A 15,818-nucleotide genomic window follows, 5' to 3' on the forward strand; every position below is an offset into this window, starting at 1 on the left:
GAGAAAAAAAGCTCAAAGGGCCATTAAAAATTAGATCTGTGGAAATGAAAAGAGGGTACTTATATATTGAGCACCTACTATGTCATGCAACACACTAATCTAATCCTCATGACAACTCCATGGTAAGGTCACAGAGACTCAGAGAAATTAAGCAACTTGCTGAGAGTCATAGGAACCCAGGTCAGGGTGACTCTGAGATGTACTTTTAACCACCCTCACCCACATTCAAATCAGTCTCAATCTTTAGGGCTCTACTTTGATGTTACTTTTCTAACTTCCAGTAGAATCTTATGTCCTTTCTGGAAAAACGCTTTTAGTAATTACCAAACAAAATGAACACTGAAGGAGTATATCATAAGAGCGAAGAAACAGAGTCAAAGTACCTTTTAGGAAAAAATCCTCAGGAACTTAAGGGAGTCCCTGGGGAGGAGGGCTGGAAGGAAGGAAACTAACTGAATATTGGATGACTAGATGGGAATTGTTGCCTTACTCCGATAATTAGAGGCTACATTATATTTCAAATCTGGAAGTGATCTTAAGAATATTTGATTCCAGTTTTTTCATTTTACATTAGAACAGAATGAGATCTAAAGATCCTACACAAAGCAGAATAAGATCCTGAGTCACCTGACATTGAAACGATTGCTCTTCTACTAAAAATGATTAAAAGAGAGGGAACACATCCATAAAAGATCAAGTATTGTAGTAAAAAAGGGATAGCAGTACATGATACATTTTATATATATATATATATATGTGTGTGTGTATATATATATATATATATATATATATATATATATGAAGGTCTTTTATATATACATATATATATGAATGTCAGTCATAGATCAAGGGTTAGGGTGGGTCATGAACCAAGAATTAAATTTCATCTAATTTTATGCACTCAATTAAAAACAAGCAAATACATACATACATATATGCATAAAGAGTTAGAATGGCTTCCAAGACAGATGGAAACAAATAGTAAATGTATGTTCAATGAATGGATGAGTGAAATGTCTTGCCAAATGATCCCAGTGCATTTGAGGACGGAGATCAAGGAGTTCAAGGACCCATAAGACATGAACTTCGTTGTCCCTTCGTTTTCCTGCCTCCTACAGGAGAGAAATAACTTGGCCTCCTCAATTCTTGTTTGTCTTTAAGAACCTGAGGAGCACTTTGTCTTTGACAACAACAATAGAACAAATGGTATTCGTATATCATTTTTATTGTTTACAAAAGATTATACCCCAGAGCATATCTTGTCCTCAAAATAAATTTGCCAAGTAGATATTCCCATTTTAAAGGTAAGGAAGTGGAAGGGAAGAGAAATGAAGTGTCTTACTCAAGGCCAGTGAACTGATATGTGTTGGAGGGAGTAGGAAATGAGAAGTAAAAATCTTGTGCTCCCACTGCTGGTCTGAGAATTGAATAATTCCCAGTTGTCTAGGAATATTCAAAATTATTGTATACAATGACTTAAAATCCCCCTGGAAGACATGCAGTTTCTAAATGCCTAATTGCCACAACTGAAGTAAATCAGTAGTCATGGTCCAACCTCTATTGGAGAGGAAGGGGGATTTTGAATGATACAATTTATGTTGTTCAACATAGCTCTCTTTTTATCCAATGGCAACCTTTTACAGATGACTTGGAGTTGCAAAAAGTCAAAGATTTGCTTAGGCAAATTCTTTATTCATGACATTGTGCACCCAAGATTTTCTTTCCTCCAGCCAGTCTCTGGAAACACATTTAGGGTATTGTGCTATTTTCATTTTATGACTACAGAAACAGAGTTCAAACGTTCTTAGTCTAAGACTATTCAGCAACTTCTTTCTAAACTAGGAAGGTATGAATCTGAGATCTCCCATTTTCAGAAAGCTTCCATAATCTTTGCATATATCGCATTCCAGCTTTCATAGAGGGGATGTCTGAGTCATTTGCTCATCCGACAAATCGTCATACTTTTGCCAACAAACATTCTTCCTTGGTTTTCTCTCTTCCTGAAGCGTGTAGCAATGTTCCTAGCTCTCAAGAAAGATCTGGAGCAGCTCGGAAGATAAGAGCAATTGAAGAAGAAAGTTACAATTTAGTGGAGTTAATTTTATCGCAGACTTTCAGCACGCTATTCACATGCAAACTTCACACAGAATATTTTTATCACTACCTTATTGGAATAGATTGGTAATTAATAGCTTGTAATCCACCATTGCTAACATGTTTTGACTTATTAAACACTTGGACAAAATAAAAGAAGATCTGTTTTGCCATAAGGGGGAGCTTTTGAGTTCTATAAAGAGGGGGAAAAAAGAAGAAAAAAATATATTACATGTATGTCCCAGTTCAAAAACAGACCTACAAAGCAGCAAATGGTCAGATCCTTACCTGTGACTTTAACAATTTCAGAGGACCTGAATTGCTTAAGTTGAAAACATTAGGCAAATTAATATTTTTCTCTCATTTTCTTCTTATAAAATTAAAATAATTTCTAATGACCAACAGAGTATTTTAAAGAGTATTCGGGGAAATTCAGAGACCCAGTTGTACTAGGACTACAGCTTCTGAAAGGCAGATGTCCTGGACAGTGCCTTTCTTCTATTTTCTTCTGATGATTCCATAAGAACTTTGGAAACATTTGGGTTAGCTGAAGCCAGCCTTATCTGGGGGCTCAGAAAAGAGGGGAATGGTTCATCATCGTACAACTTTAAGGAAATTCTGAGAGGGAAAAGGACAGGGAAAAGAAGAGGGAAAGAGGTAAAGGGAGAGGAAGCGGGAAGAAGAGTAAGGGAGAGAGTGAGAAAAAGAGAAAGAGAGGGAGAGGGAGGGAGGGAGAGACAGAGAGAGAGAATTAAAAAAAAAAATCTAAGAATCAAGTTTCAAGACTCTTTATGTGCTACAGAAAAGGATGAGGTTTACCAGCAAAGTGCAAAGGGGATCCTAAGAGAAGAGACAGATTTTTCTCCTGCCATCAGAAATAATAATAATAAGTGGGGGGAGTGAGGGAGGGAAAAAAAGCAAGCAAAACAAAACAAAAACAGGAATGTGTGTTTTGAGCAGGAATGAGAGCTGGGAGGACCGTAAGGGGGTGTGTACAGAATTTCATTAAATTGTTACTTTAAGATTGTCTCCTTAAAAAAAAAAAAAAAAAAAGAGAGAGAGAGAGAGAGAGAAAAGGAGGGGGTGGTGGAGAAGCGGGAGCGAAGGAAAGGAGGCAAAAGGCAAAGTGAAGGAAAGCTGGATAGCTCGGCCTCTCCAAACTGATTGATTAGTCATGATCCCCGCAGTTTTAACAGGGACTCATTCAATTGGGAAGGTGGAGCGCTGGGGAGCAGATTAGCATACGCTTGTTTACTCATCTTCTGAGGGATTTTTTCCCCCTCTTTCCTTTCATTTTGAGAAGAAGGAGGGAGGGGAGGGGGGACTTGGGGGGGGAGAAGGGGGCTGTGGCTTGTGTTATAAAGGACGCAAAAAATAAATAAATTAGAGCATCTTTTGGGGGGAGGGAATTCAGCGGATCAGTCTTAAGAGGAGCTTTTTTTTGGAGCGAGAAATCATATAAAATAAAATGAAATAAAACAAGGAGGAAGGCAACCAGCTGTTAGGGGAAAAATAAGGCAGATAAAGGAGCGGGGAGAGAAATTAATTGCCAACCAGGAGGAGTTGGGCTGTATTTTTCAAAGGTGGGGAGAGTGGAGCACACACCTTGAGGAGGAAAGCGAGAAAGAAAAGAAAAAAGCAAGTGGAAAGGGGGGCTCGCCCAAGAAGGGTGAAGAAGCGAAGAAAGTCGAGGCGCCGAGGCTCCCAAAGCTGGCAGCTCCGGGTGGCGGTGCAGGGGCGAAGGGGGGGCGGGGGGAACCGTCGGACATGCGGCTCTGGAGTTGGGTGCTGCACCTGGGGCTGCTGAGCGCCGCGCTGGGCTGCGGGCTGGCCGAGCGTCCCCGCCGGGCCCGGAGAGACCCGCGGGCCGGCCGACCCCCGCGCCCCGCCGCCGGCCCGGCCACCTGCGCCACCCGGGCGGCCCGCGGCCGCCGCGCCTCGCCGCCGCCGCCGCCGCCGCCGGGCGGTGCCTGGGAAGCCGTGCGCGTCCCCCGGCGGCGGCAGCAGCGGGAGGCGAGGGGCGCCACCGAGGAGCCGAGCCCGCCGAGCCGGGCGCTCTATTTCAGCGGGCGAGGCGAGCAGCTGCGCCTCCGGGCCGACCTCGAGCTGCCCCGGGACGCGTTCACGCTGCAAGTGTGGCTGCGAGCGGAGGGGGGCCAGAGGTCTCCGGCAGTGATCACAGGTAGGTGAGGGCGCCTCGGCGGGCGCTGCACCGTCCCTGCGGCCCCAGAGGCTCGCGGGTGTCTGGGCGCGGGTGGCGGGCGGGTCGGGGGCTTGCGGGCGTGTCTGTGCGAGAGCTGCCCCGCGAGCGGCGCAGAGACATCCGGGCGAGCTGAGAGCCTCACTTTGCTCCATCGGTGGAATGGGCACACTCGGAAGGCGTAGCTGCTCCATCCCTGGGAGGAACCTGGGGAGCCCTCCTGGCGGCCCCGCGGACCCTCGGCCAGTGAGGGCTGGTTCCCGGAGCCTAGGGCACGTAACCCGTGCTCCGAATGGTCAGATGCACTCTCTCCTTTTGGGATGAAAGGGAGGATGACCCAATTGAGATGCATGTGAAAGGAGACTTGGGGACCGTTGATTTCTTTGACGTTTTAATGGAGGTAACTCCCCTTCATTAGGCCCCATTCCCCTGAAAGCCGGCAAGGGCAAGGTTGTTGTAATGGCCAGGACTTAGAAGTCCTCGAAGTGCCCCAAAGTTGCTCACTGATTGAAGCCTGCCTCTGGGACTCACCCTCACCCCCTCCACGCCATCCCATGTCCTAGCTTTTAAAGCCCATTGCCTGTCACTCGGGGCTGGGACGAGACCTTCCTAACGCATACCCCGCCAGCGTTCCCCAGACGCGGCTGCGAAACGGGGCGCTTTTCTCATATGGGACTTTATGAGCCCGTAATGAATTTGAGTTCTCCCTCCTCAACCTCCCTCTCTCTCCCCTTCGCTGTTCCACAGCAAAGCCTATAGTGAAATCGGACACTTTGCGAGGATTGCAAACCTTAGAAATGCTCCAGCATCCATTTTCCCCCCTCTAAATGAATCTGTGGAAATGCCTTTAATAAAACTGGGGAGCGGAGGTGGGGGCGGCGCTGGAAGAGAGGAGGAAAGTTTTGCCTTTTCTGTCTGGGAGATTCCCTTTCTGCACAAACAATCTTGCCATGTCCTGGGACGTCTTAAAGTGAGAGTAGGGGTTCCCCCTTCACTGCAGCCAGGAAACGTGTGAAGGCGTTTTGCGATCCCACCCCCTCACACACACACTTTCTTAGAAGGGAAAGCTGTGAGCTCTCCGGGCAGTTCTGCTTCTTCCTGTCTTTCCATGGCTTGGACTTTCACAGATGTAGCACTGACTATCCAGTTGACATGAAGACCCCTTTAGGAGACCCACACTCTGCTGCTATCCCAAGAATACGTCTCCCGAAGCCCCCGCTTTCCAGCTATCAAAGGAGAGCGATACAGTGATTCCCCCCAACAACCCACAACTGACGTCATCGCATGCTATTTTTCCTTTTTTTTTTTCCTCCGGGAAGAAGAAGGAGACTGAACTCATTCACTTTTAACTCGCAAGCCCTATTTGCCCAGAGGAGGGTCTAATTTGGAACAGAGGAAACGTTATCCATAATAATAATGACGATGGTGATAATTTAGAGCTGTAGTATGTTGACTTCTCTTTCCAAACATGTGAAAAAGCAAAGAGACTGCTGCTTGGAGGTGATTTTTTTTTTTTTTTAATCTGTAGGTCTGGTTTTTCCTAGTCTTTACCTAGTACCAGTGATTTGGAAGGCATTCCCTGGAGAGAGGAGAGCACAGGGTTATGCAGGCATCATCAGTGAAAGGGTAGTGAATGCATTTTAACTATGTAAGTGTGTCTACATAAATACGTGTGTGTGTGTGTATATATATATATACATGTATATATATGTGTGTATATATATATGTGTATATATATATATGTATATATATATATATAACACCTGGGATTCCACAGGAGACTGCTTTATAAATGTCTATAATTCAGACAAGGAGCCTCTCTTCACACACATTCTCTTGAGCACTCATTCACTCTCTCACACAAAGATTGTTGCAGTAAAATACTTTAATTGGATGGGGGGCGTTAGGTTATTATTGCTTGTATAAAATGCCTGGTCCATTTTATGTGTAGAAATAACATTCCTCTCAAAACGAAAAAAATAAAATAAATAAATAAGCACTGCTGTCGTGTAGCACCAGAAAGCCAGGAGCTTTTCCCCTGAGGATTCTGGTGGATTTCTTTTCCCTCCCCTAGTTGAGTTGGAGCCAGATTTGGCGGCGTGTAAACACCTGGCTCTGAGCCAGAAAAGACTCATTCTGCATATCCTCCACATGGTACAGGCTGTTGGACTAAAAAGAACCTGCTTCTCCTTGAATTAAAAAGCAAACAAACAGAGGTTCTTTGCAGAAGTACTTTTTCAGCTCCCTCCTTCGTGTAAGTTTGGGCTGGGAGAGCCAGGACCGAGGTGGGCAGCAAGGATCGGGTGCGAAGGCTCACCCTCTCGCGGCGACCTCAGGTGCCCAGTTTGCTGCCTGACCTCTGCTGGCTTTCTCTGGCTGGGCGTTGCCACTTTCCTAGGAATCCCTGGTCACCTATCTTGAGAGAGCAGTCATCGCTCAGCAGGGACCGCGCTGCTATTTCAGGCAGAGAGTTGCTGTCTTGCTGTCAGGCCAGGCTGCCTTACATCACTCTTTGCTGCAGGATTCAATTGGGTTTCGTAAAGGTCTAATTTTACGGTGCTGTTAACCGGGTCTGTCGTCTGGCAGAGGCAGGCCTTGCCGCTCCTGGTAGGCGGGCTATGCTCCCAGATCCGCCCGGGATGCTATTTCTGCCCCGGTTCAAACTTCACTGACACCAGTTCAGACAGGCGCTCGGAGAGACAGGGGGAAGGAGCGAAGGAGCAGTTTGCTTCTGAAGCTCAGAAAACATGCCTTTTATTTTTCTGAAAGGAAAGGAGAAAAATATATATACTAATACATAAAAAAAGGGAAGGCTTATGCAGGCAAAAACAAAGCCAAAGTTAGAAAGTGCCTATGTGTAGGATTCTCTGGAGGGTCCACCAGTGGATGGTCTTTAGGATTGAAGAATCCTTTAAGGCTGCTGTGAAAAGGGTCCTCAGAGGTTACCCAAGCCAGTTTCCCTTTTGGCCGAATGGGGAGAGAGACACACAGAGAGGGGAGGGGTGTGTGCTGGATGACACAGCTCCTCAGCGGCAGGAACTAGGATTTAATCCCTGGCATCTGACTTCCAGGCCTTGCCCCCTGCACCGCTGAGAGAATGTGTCTCATAAACACCATCACCTCTCACCCCACACGGACCCACCACCCACACACAGCCTTCAGCCTTCATGCATAGCAATTTGGGCTCCCTTTCAAGTCAGGGGATGAGGGGTTGTTTCTGACACATCCCTTTGCTTTTGTACCACACCAGGCAGGAGGAACCAGACCCCTGTTCCTCATCCCCAACTGCCCCCCCAACACCCCTCCAGTTTGAAAGAAAAGGAAAACAAAAGACTCAATTTGCTCCATCGAGCAGAGGCCTTGAGCAGCAGTTAATCTTGTTAAAGTTTCTCCTGACCTGTTAGATAAGTGAAATGTGGACCCCACAAGTACTGCCCTCCTCCCACCCCTGTCCCACTCCCCTTGCCTTAGTGATTCGGAATTCCTGCTCAGAAGGAGAAAAGGATTTACCTGAATCCCATCCAGCACCTCTGCTTGCCAGCCTTTTTTCTTTTGTTCTAATGGTTGGACTGGATTAAGTGTGCTGGTTACTCCCAAGAATCTTTTTTTCCTTCCCTTCTGCACCCCCACTTCCTAGTATCCACCCAACCCTCAAAAAAGAGTACCCACATTTTCTCCACTTCAGCATTGCTGTAACAGTGAAGGCTGGGTTTAAGTATATGGCTAGGAGTCCATATATTAACAAGGCTTTTCCCCAGTATCTGTAGTCCTACCTGGGATCTAGAATATTGTAATAGTTAGAACTCAGTTTTAGTAGCCAGGTTACCTATGTGGAATCTCTGCCCCTAACTAACTGTGTGACCTTGGGCAAGCAAGCTAGTTGACTTCTCTGGACTTCATTCACCTTCCTCATGTACAGAGTGATGATGGCACAAGTACCTGTATCATAGAGCTGTGTAAATGCTAACAGAACTTGGACATGGAAGGTACTTAAAACTGGACTTGGTATGTAGTAGGTGCTCAACAAACTTCATTCTTATTAGACATGATTTTCCAAATATCTCAGTCTTGGCTTTCTGGACTGGGGAACACTTGAAGGTATGAAGAAATCCAACTCTACCTGGGTGCTTCCTTGGTGATGCTGGGCACTTTCCTTGTGCCAGCATGTTTTGCCTTCACAACTACCCTGAGAAGTGTGTATCGTCGCCTGTACTTCACAAAAGAGAAATCTGAGTTTCAGAGAGTTGAAATGACTTGGTCTAAAGTCCCACAGGTTCTCAGTGGAGAGAGCCTAGATGTGAACCCAAGTCCTCGTTTCCTCTGTCAGCAGTCTTTTTGGAGAGAGAAGAAATTATTCACATGCTCTTCCTTAACCTTTCTGTGGAACATTTCCATTCCTTTCTGCATCTCTATGTGTCAACCATATACCTACAGATCGAAGAGGGTGAGAAATGGATATAAATCTCAACTGAAGCCCTGCATGAGACCTGGCAGATCTGTTTTTCTTTTCACATCAAATTATCAGACAGACAGGCTTGGAATTTCTCTTACATGCTGTGTAATTTGAGTCAAGTCACTTCATCCATCTCTTCCTTGGTTTACTTATCTGTAAAGTGGGCATAATGACATCAGGATAGTTCAATGAAATAAACATGCAAAAAGTACCCAGTGCAGTGTCAACTTGTATTAGAGACTCAGTCAAGGGTAGCCGGATCTAGGAAGTAGCTGCATCTCTTTTTCCAGTTTGCGGCTTTGGCTTTCAAAAAGTGGGGCCTGTTTGTAAGGCTTCCCCTCTTGAGTTGCTGGGGAGTCTCTCTAGAGTAGATAATGTATCTTGGGGAACAATTAGACTCCTTCAAATACCTTTCTTTCAATTTGATCTTCTCCTCTTTGACATGCTAGGATTACCCCTCTGTAATAAGAGCCAAAGGAGGCCCAGAACCACTGGGACCTTTAAACAGGAAAACAAGTTAGCATTCAGAGAGAGCAAGCACCTCCAGAAAAGGAAGCCACACAGATCTACTGTCGGCCTCTTGCTCCTTCCCCAGGTGCTCCTCAAACTCTCACCTTCCGTTGAGCTGCCACTCAGTGAACAAGTAGAAGTGATAAAGGCTGTGAAACCTGGGAAAGCACCTCCCATTTTTCCCTGCACAGAGGAAGGCAAAATCAAGGTCCAGAGATATGGAACTCGGGAGTGTGGGTTGTGTATGGCCAGCCTGGACATGAACTCAGTGATCATCTGGGTCAAACAGCTCACTGTGCAACAGGAAAGTTGAGGACCAGGGTCACACAAAATTAAACTGTATTCACAGATGATCCCCTCTAAATGGTCTGAGAGATCATTTGGTCCAGCACTTCCCATTCCTGGCTGCACCTGGAATAACCAGCTTTTAAAACATCCTTCTGCCCAGGCTGCACCCCAAGGATTCTGATGTTGTGGGTCTGGGGTTGGCCTGGGAACGGGTGTTTCCCAAAGCCTTCTCAGGTAATGTTGAAGGACCACTAGTGAAAATAATTACTGATGTAGTCTGACATCCTCTTGTTCTGCAGAGGCCCAAAGGGTAAACGATGTTCCCTGCTTACTGAGCTGGGTAGTAGCTAAGCATTTGGGGAAGTTCCGGTGCCCCAGCTCTGAAGGACCCCTCTTCCATGCTGACTTCCTCTGTTCACTCCAAACCCCTGGGTGCCACAGGTCCTGACATTTCATTTTTTCCAGTGCCATTCCTGTGTGGAACCATGGTGGTCCCCATCTTTACAGGAGGCACCTGATGTCAAATGAATCTCTCGGAGTTTTGGAGAGAGAAGCCTCTTTGAACAGGAAGGATTATAAGAAAGGGAAGCTCAGCTCTAAGGCATTCACCATTCACTTTGCCCTGGGCTAGTCCTTTAGAAAGATGTGTGTTCCTATTACTTCAAAACCCCTCACCTTGAGATCCCTCTGAAACCAGCACTGGCTGCAGGTGTCTCCAATGAGGAGAAGAGAAAATCTCCAGGTACTAGAGGACTCCCTCTATGGGCAACTTGTATCTTATCTACCTGTGGCTGAGGGCTCGGGAATCCAGTAGGTATCTATTTCTCTCCGCACCAGCTGCCCCTTCTCTAGAACTTAGTTCCCTTTCCCTAAGGTTCTCCTAACTTTCTTCTTACTGCAGTAAGAGCTCTGCTTCTTGCCTTGGTGCAGTTACTGGAAATGCTCAACTGTGATTCTGACATCAGCAGCTGAGAACCGACTTGTAAGTTCCTTGGCTTGTTTGAAGATCTGTAAGTGGGAATTAGGAGGTCAGCGTTCAGGTCCTGGTTTGGCTTCCTCTAAGCTGTGTGACCTGTGGTCTCTGACTTAACCACTGGGGCCTCAGGGGAGAGGGTTTGGGGGATGGTTACTCTCAATGTCCCCATCTCATGGGCTGTCATGGGACCAGGTGAGACAATGCCGGGAGAAGCCGTTGGCTGAGGTCAGACCACAGTGCACGGGTCAGCATGGTTAGGAGGAGCTAGAAAGTGAGAGATGTGAGGGATTAGTGCAATCAAGGTCATTCCTGGAAAGGTGCTTTTATTATGATCATTCACACTGTAGATGATAAACAGTGATGGAGTTAGCAAACCTTTTCATGCCTGTGACCTCACTGGAGTTCTTTGATGTTGGGACTTCATAAGTCTGCCAAATCCTGCCACTTACTGCTTTATGACCTTGACCATTTACCGCTTCTCTCTGGACCTCAGTGTTCTCAGGATGCAAAAGGAGGGTCAGGGGTAAAATAGCGACTTTCAAACTGTCAGGGGTAAAATAGCGACTTTCAAACTTTTCAAACTTCTGGGACAAGGGTGAAGGGCAGGACTCTGCCTCTCTCCTTCCCTTCACCTTATTCCACTTAAATTGTGTGATTCTACAAGCTTATGTTTAAAGGAATATGTTCCTCCATTACAAAGAGTTTAAATGGATATGGACTGACATTGAGGAGTTATTGTTAATCTTGATAGGTGTGATATGATATTGTTGTTATGTTTTTTTAAAGATCCTAATTTGTTAGAAATGCATACTGAAGTACTTGTGGGTAAAATTATGTTTTGTCTATTTTGTTTGTTTATTTGTTTAAAAAGCTCCAGAAAAAAAAAAAAAAAGGTTCTGGGGGTAGTGGTTGGTGAGAGATTAGCAAACTGATAACAATTGTTGAAACCAAGTGATTAAACCTTGGAGCTTTAATACATTTTTGTTCATGCTGTGGTGTGTGATTGAAGATTTCCATAATAAAAAGTTAAAAATACTAAAAGTGTTTGAGAGCCACAGGAGGAAGTGAAGTCTCAGTTCCCTGCGTGTTCTGTGACCTGAAAGGTTTGCAAATACGGAGACCACCGTTTAGAGAGGGTTAGGGACTCCCCCAAGGTCGCACAAAGATTAGCTGAAAGTCGTGACACAGCCCAGGCTTCAGATCTGAGGAGCTCCCCATCCCCTCCTCTCTGTACACTTGCAAACTCAAGTGAAAATGATTATCCAGGGAGAACTCGAGGGGAATAAAAGTGATGAGGGGAGCCTTAGGAGGAGCATGGAGAAGGGGCAAGTGGAGGCTTGCTCTGCAATAAGAAGCTTTTGAGTGAGAAAATTATTTGCTGTATGGGACTGCCCTACATATTGTGAAATGTTTAGCATCTTTGGCCCTGTTTATGAGAATTTCATGGGATCTGTTAGTGATTGTGACAGGCCCAGAAGTATTGTGACGATACACACACACATACTCATATACTCACAGGTCCACATACCCTTAGTTCTCGTTTTTCTGGTTCCTTATTTCTCTCCATCCCTAACTACCTGGAGAGCAATTCTAGAGCCTTCTAGAGGCCTGGGGCAGTGACCTGCAGGAGCATATGTTTACTGAGGAAGTATTTTGCAATGGTTGATCACAGGACTCAGGAATCAAACTGCCTGGTCAAACCCTGACTATTGCACCTGCTGGTTGTGTGACCTTGGGCAAGTTACTTAGTATCTCCAAGCTTCACTTTTCCCCTCTGTAAAGTGCAGATAATACTAGCTGTTACTTCATAGGGTTGTTTTGAAGATTAACTGGGCCTCCATGTGGAAAATGCTTAGTAATGGAATCTAGACCATGCGGTAACCCAGCAAACGTTAACTCATATCAGTATTATGTGTGCCAGCCATTGCCACGCATTATTTCTAATAATCTCAATAACTCTAGGAGTTAGACATACTTATCTCTTTTGGCAAAGCCAGGAATTGCCTTTTCCTCCCTTACAACTCAGGAAAGAGTTATTGCTGTCATCTTAACATAGAAAAATTAAAAATTTAAACAACTAAAATGAAAGGCTAACAAGATAAACACATTATTGTGTCATTTAAAAAAAAATAGTGCATGCTCATTGTAAAAAAAATCTCAGAAATGCAGACAAAGAACAAGAGACCAGGTAAAATTTGTCTATTTCCTGCCCAAGCATGCAACAACTATTTTTTGAGTTTCTGCTCTGTGCTGGGTACAGTTTTAGGCCTTGAGGACAGACCAGTCAACAAAAGAGAGAAACATCTCCGCCCTCAGGGAGTTTATATTCTGGGCAGTGGGTGTTGGGGAGAAGGTGGAGACAGACTATAAATGAATAAGCATATATATCCCATAATGTCAGGTGAATGTTTGTAAAGAAAAAGTTGAGAAGGAAGTCTAGGAATGCTGTGTGGGAGTGGGGATGCAGGAGGAGAGAGGAGTGGGATATGAAAAGAGTGGTCAAGGGAGGCCATCATCAGAGTAGCTTTGAAGAAGAGACCTATGAGCAGGCCTGAGGCTCTCTGGAGAAGGCCATGGTGTATCGCAAAAGGAGGAGCAATGCTTTGAGCTAGGAGATGTCAGTTCTAGCACTAGTTTGCTGTGTGACTTTAGGCAAGTCACTCTCCCTCTCAGAACCAGTTTTCACATCTGAACTTTGTGGTACTGTAGGGATTATTTGCACTAAAGACACTTCTACAGACACTTCCTAGGATTCTATAATCCTCATCAAGGCTGTCCTCAGACAAAACTGTGAAGTTGGCAATAGTTCCAGTTTTCTTCCTTTTCTGGTGTATTTTCCTCCACTAGGTGGTGCCTGTGCCTGTCACCCTCAGGGGCCAAGTGTGGACACATTTTCGGCTTCCACACCTCAGCAACACTGGGGAAAAAAGAAGATGGTACACCTTCTTGCTAAGTACCATTGACTGGTAACAACTTGGAATGTTACTGCTCCATTGGTGGATACTCTTTTAGGACTTCCCAGAAAGCTTTGTGTCACAAAGCAATGTAACAGTGGTAGAATTTCTAAGACTGACTGAAGACATTATTTGGGGAATATTGGTACTTCCTGATAGCTGGAATCCATCCTATTAATAATATAACTAATTCTAGCCCCCACAAATATCCAGAAAACTTGCTGAGTGACTCCCAGTCATCACTTACTGGGTGAATGCTAGCATGTTCATATTTTGTAATTTCTTAGGATATAAAGGCCATTCCAGACAAATTCCTGGACTTTGGAATAGACCACCGGCCTTGTAGTATTGCTTATCATTTTAATCAGATAACTCAGTGAATTAAAATACCAAAACTCTGGAGTCTGTCATCATTTTCCAGACTATTTTCCTTCAGAGGATCCCTGGAACTGTCATCTCTGAAGTATATCCAGCTTCCTCTCAACTCCCTCCTTCTTCTCTCTCTTCCTACTCCTCATACCCAGCTTATTTGCTTTGACCACTTGGATTTTTCTCCAAACAAGATAAAGAAAATGTGTTTGTTTTTTGGTATTATTTGCCACAAACCCAGGGTCCACAGAACTTGGAAGAATATAAGAGGTTCCCCTCTTCTACTTTAGATTGTAGAGAACCCTGGTCAGGTCTCAGATTCCAACCCACTTGGAGGAAGCTAAGACATAAAAGCTGGTCAGTAACAACTTGGAATATCGAAGTATGTGAGTAGGGGCAGCGTACCACTAGTTGCTGAGACCTGTTATAGCCTTGTGTGTTTAGGAAGCCAGTGGTCCAACCTGTACCTATTATCCTTGTAATCAAGAAGTCATTCCTATGCCTGTCCCGTATCCATTCCTGTTGCTCTATGAATCTGAAAGGTGGCTCGGCAGAATGTGGCCAAATGCATTTATATGGAGGGGGTTATTTTCCCCAGTGTGACTGCAGATCTTTCAGCTCAGAGGCTGATGAATGAAGAGAGAAGGCTGTGTTAATAGGCTAATCTTAAGATGCAAGGCACCCAGGCAGAAAACATAAAACATTGATAAATGTGATACTCAGTTTTGTGAAGTAAACTTCATTTAAGTCCAAAGAAACAAGGTGTGTCAAAGTCCAAGGACTCATCCAAGCCATTTATTTCATAGATGAGGGACTGAGGGTTGATGAGGAAAGTGGCTTATCCAAGTCAGTGACCAAGCTGGGTAAAGACGAGTACCATTGACTGATAACATCTTAAAATGTTACTCTTCCACTGGTAAATACTCTTGCATGACTGCCCAAAAGCTTTGTGTCACAAAGCAAACAACTTAGAATGTTACTTCTACATTGGTAGATCCTCCATTGGTAGATACTTTAAAGTCTTAAGCCAGGTCTGGGTCCACTTGTCTCCTGACTTTACACCCTTTCCCATAGATTAATTACCCATCTGTCTACTAATGGTAGTTATTTGTCCAGACTCCACTGGGCTCCAGACTCACAGATCCACCTGTCTACTGGAAATGTTAGCACATTCTACAAACTCCACACTTCCGAAACAATCATCTTTCCTCCAAAATTCCTTGCATCCTCATCTTGGTTGGTGTCACCCACTCTACATTACATCATCTACCATATTCAATCAGTCATCAACTCCTGACTCTCCTGCTTCCTTATAATGTTTATAGACAAACTCTCTTCTCTGTACCTTAAATCCTCTTTATTTCTTGCTGTGACTATTTCCTTAGTATTATAATGCCCACTTCTCTGAAATTCAATCCCTGCACCCCCTTCAACCTGCCCACCAACATCCAACAGTCACATCTGTCCAGAATGCAAATCTGACTCTGTCACCTCTAGCTGAAAGCTCTTCAATAAAATCTGAATTATTTGAAATTCCCCCAAATGCACCTGGTTCTTTAATTATCACTTTTTTTACTTGGCTTATCTTCTATTTCCAGTGCACCATTTTGCAGAATGTTTATGCCTTCCCAGGATTTTGCCAGAGTTTTCTCTCTTCTGAGAAGCCCTTCATAACTTCCCCAAAGTGTAACTTGTTCCCTACCTTGTTCATCTGTTCCCACTATGCTTTCTGCACACTTTTATCAAAATACCTGGAATTATGACATTTAATTGTGTACATATTTGAGATCTTATCCATCTCAAGTTCTCTATTGCCTAGCTCAGTATCTGACCTATAAAGGGGCTATATGTATTTTTGTTTAATAAATGGATAACTGGATAAGAGAACCAGTTTAATATCTAATGATTCTGGGAGAAAGAGCTCAGGAACCTTAGGCATGTTGCATTACGTAACCAAAGCACATGACCTAGCAT

General features: G+C 44.6%; 1 protein-coding gene across 2 annotated transcripts in view, besides 3 other annotated features; it reads left to right on the top strand.

Annotated features, from left to right (window-relative positions):
* The first annotated feature begins 3,479 nt into the window (after positions 1–3,479).
* The window catches only part of PAPPA (pappalysin 1), a 248,531-nt gene continuing 236,192 nt past the window's right edge, over positions 3,480–15,818 (top strand). For both annotated transcript variants that reach the window (NM_002581.5, XM_017014784.3), the window contains exon 1: positions 3,480–4,276. In NM_002581.5, the coding sequence (NP_002572.2) occupies positions 3,862–4,276 (415 nt within the window). In that variant the 5' untranslated portion in view covers positions 3,480–3,861. The remainder of the gene's footprint in view (positions 4,277–15,818) is intronic.
* Positions 5,257–5,346: a silencer, noted in NCBI's record as "silent region_20219". NCBI's record gives its function as "represses an Ori minimal core promoter by ATAC-STARR-seq in GM12878 lymphoblastoid cells {active_cell/tissue: GM12878}" and the evidence as "EXISTENCE:reporter gene assay evidence [ECO:0000049][PMID:35858748]".
* Positions 6,207–6,708: an enhancer, noted in NCBI's record as "H3K4me1 hESC enhancer chr9:118918797-118919298 (GRCh37/hg19 assembly coordinates)". NCBI's record gives its function as "activates a minimal SCP1, AML or CMV promoter by ChIP-STARR-seq in primed H9 embryonic stem cells {active_cell/tissue: H9 hESC(primed)}" and the evidence as "EXISTENCE:reporter gene assay evidence [ECO:0000049][PMID:30033119]".
* Positions 6,709–7,208: an enhancer, noted in NCBI's record as "H3K4me1 hESC enhancer chr9:118919299-118919798 (GRCh37/hg19 assembly coordinates)". NCBI's record gives its function as "activates a minimal SCP1, AML or CMV promoter by ChIP-STARR-seq in primed H9 embryonic stem cells {active_cell/tissue: H9 hESC(primed)}" and the evidence as "EXISTENCE:reporter gene assay evidence [ECO:0000049][PMID:30033119]".

Source organism: Homo sapiens, chromosome 9, assembly GCF_000001405.40.
Source record: "Homo sapiens chromosome 9, GRCh38.p14 Primary Assembly".
NCBI lineage: Eukaryota > Metazoa > Chordata > Mammalia > Primates > Hominidae > Homo > Homo sapiens.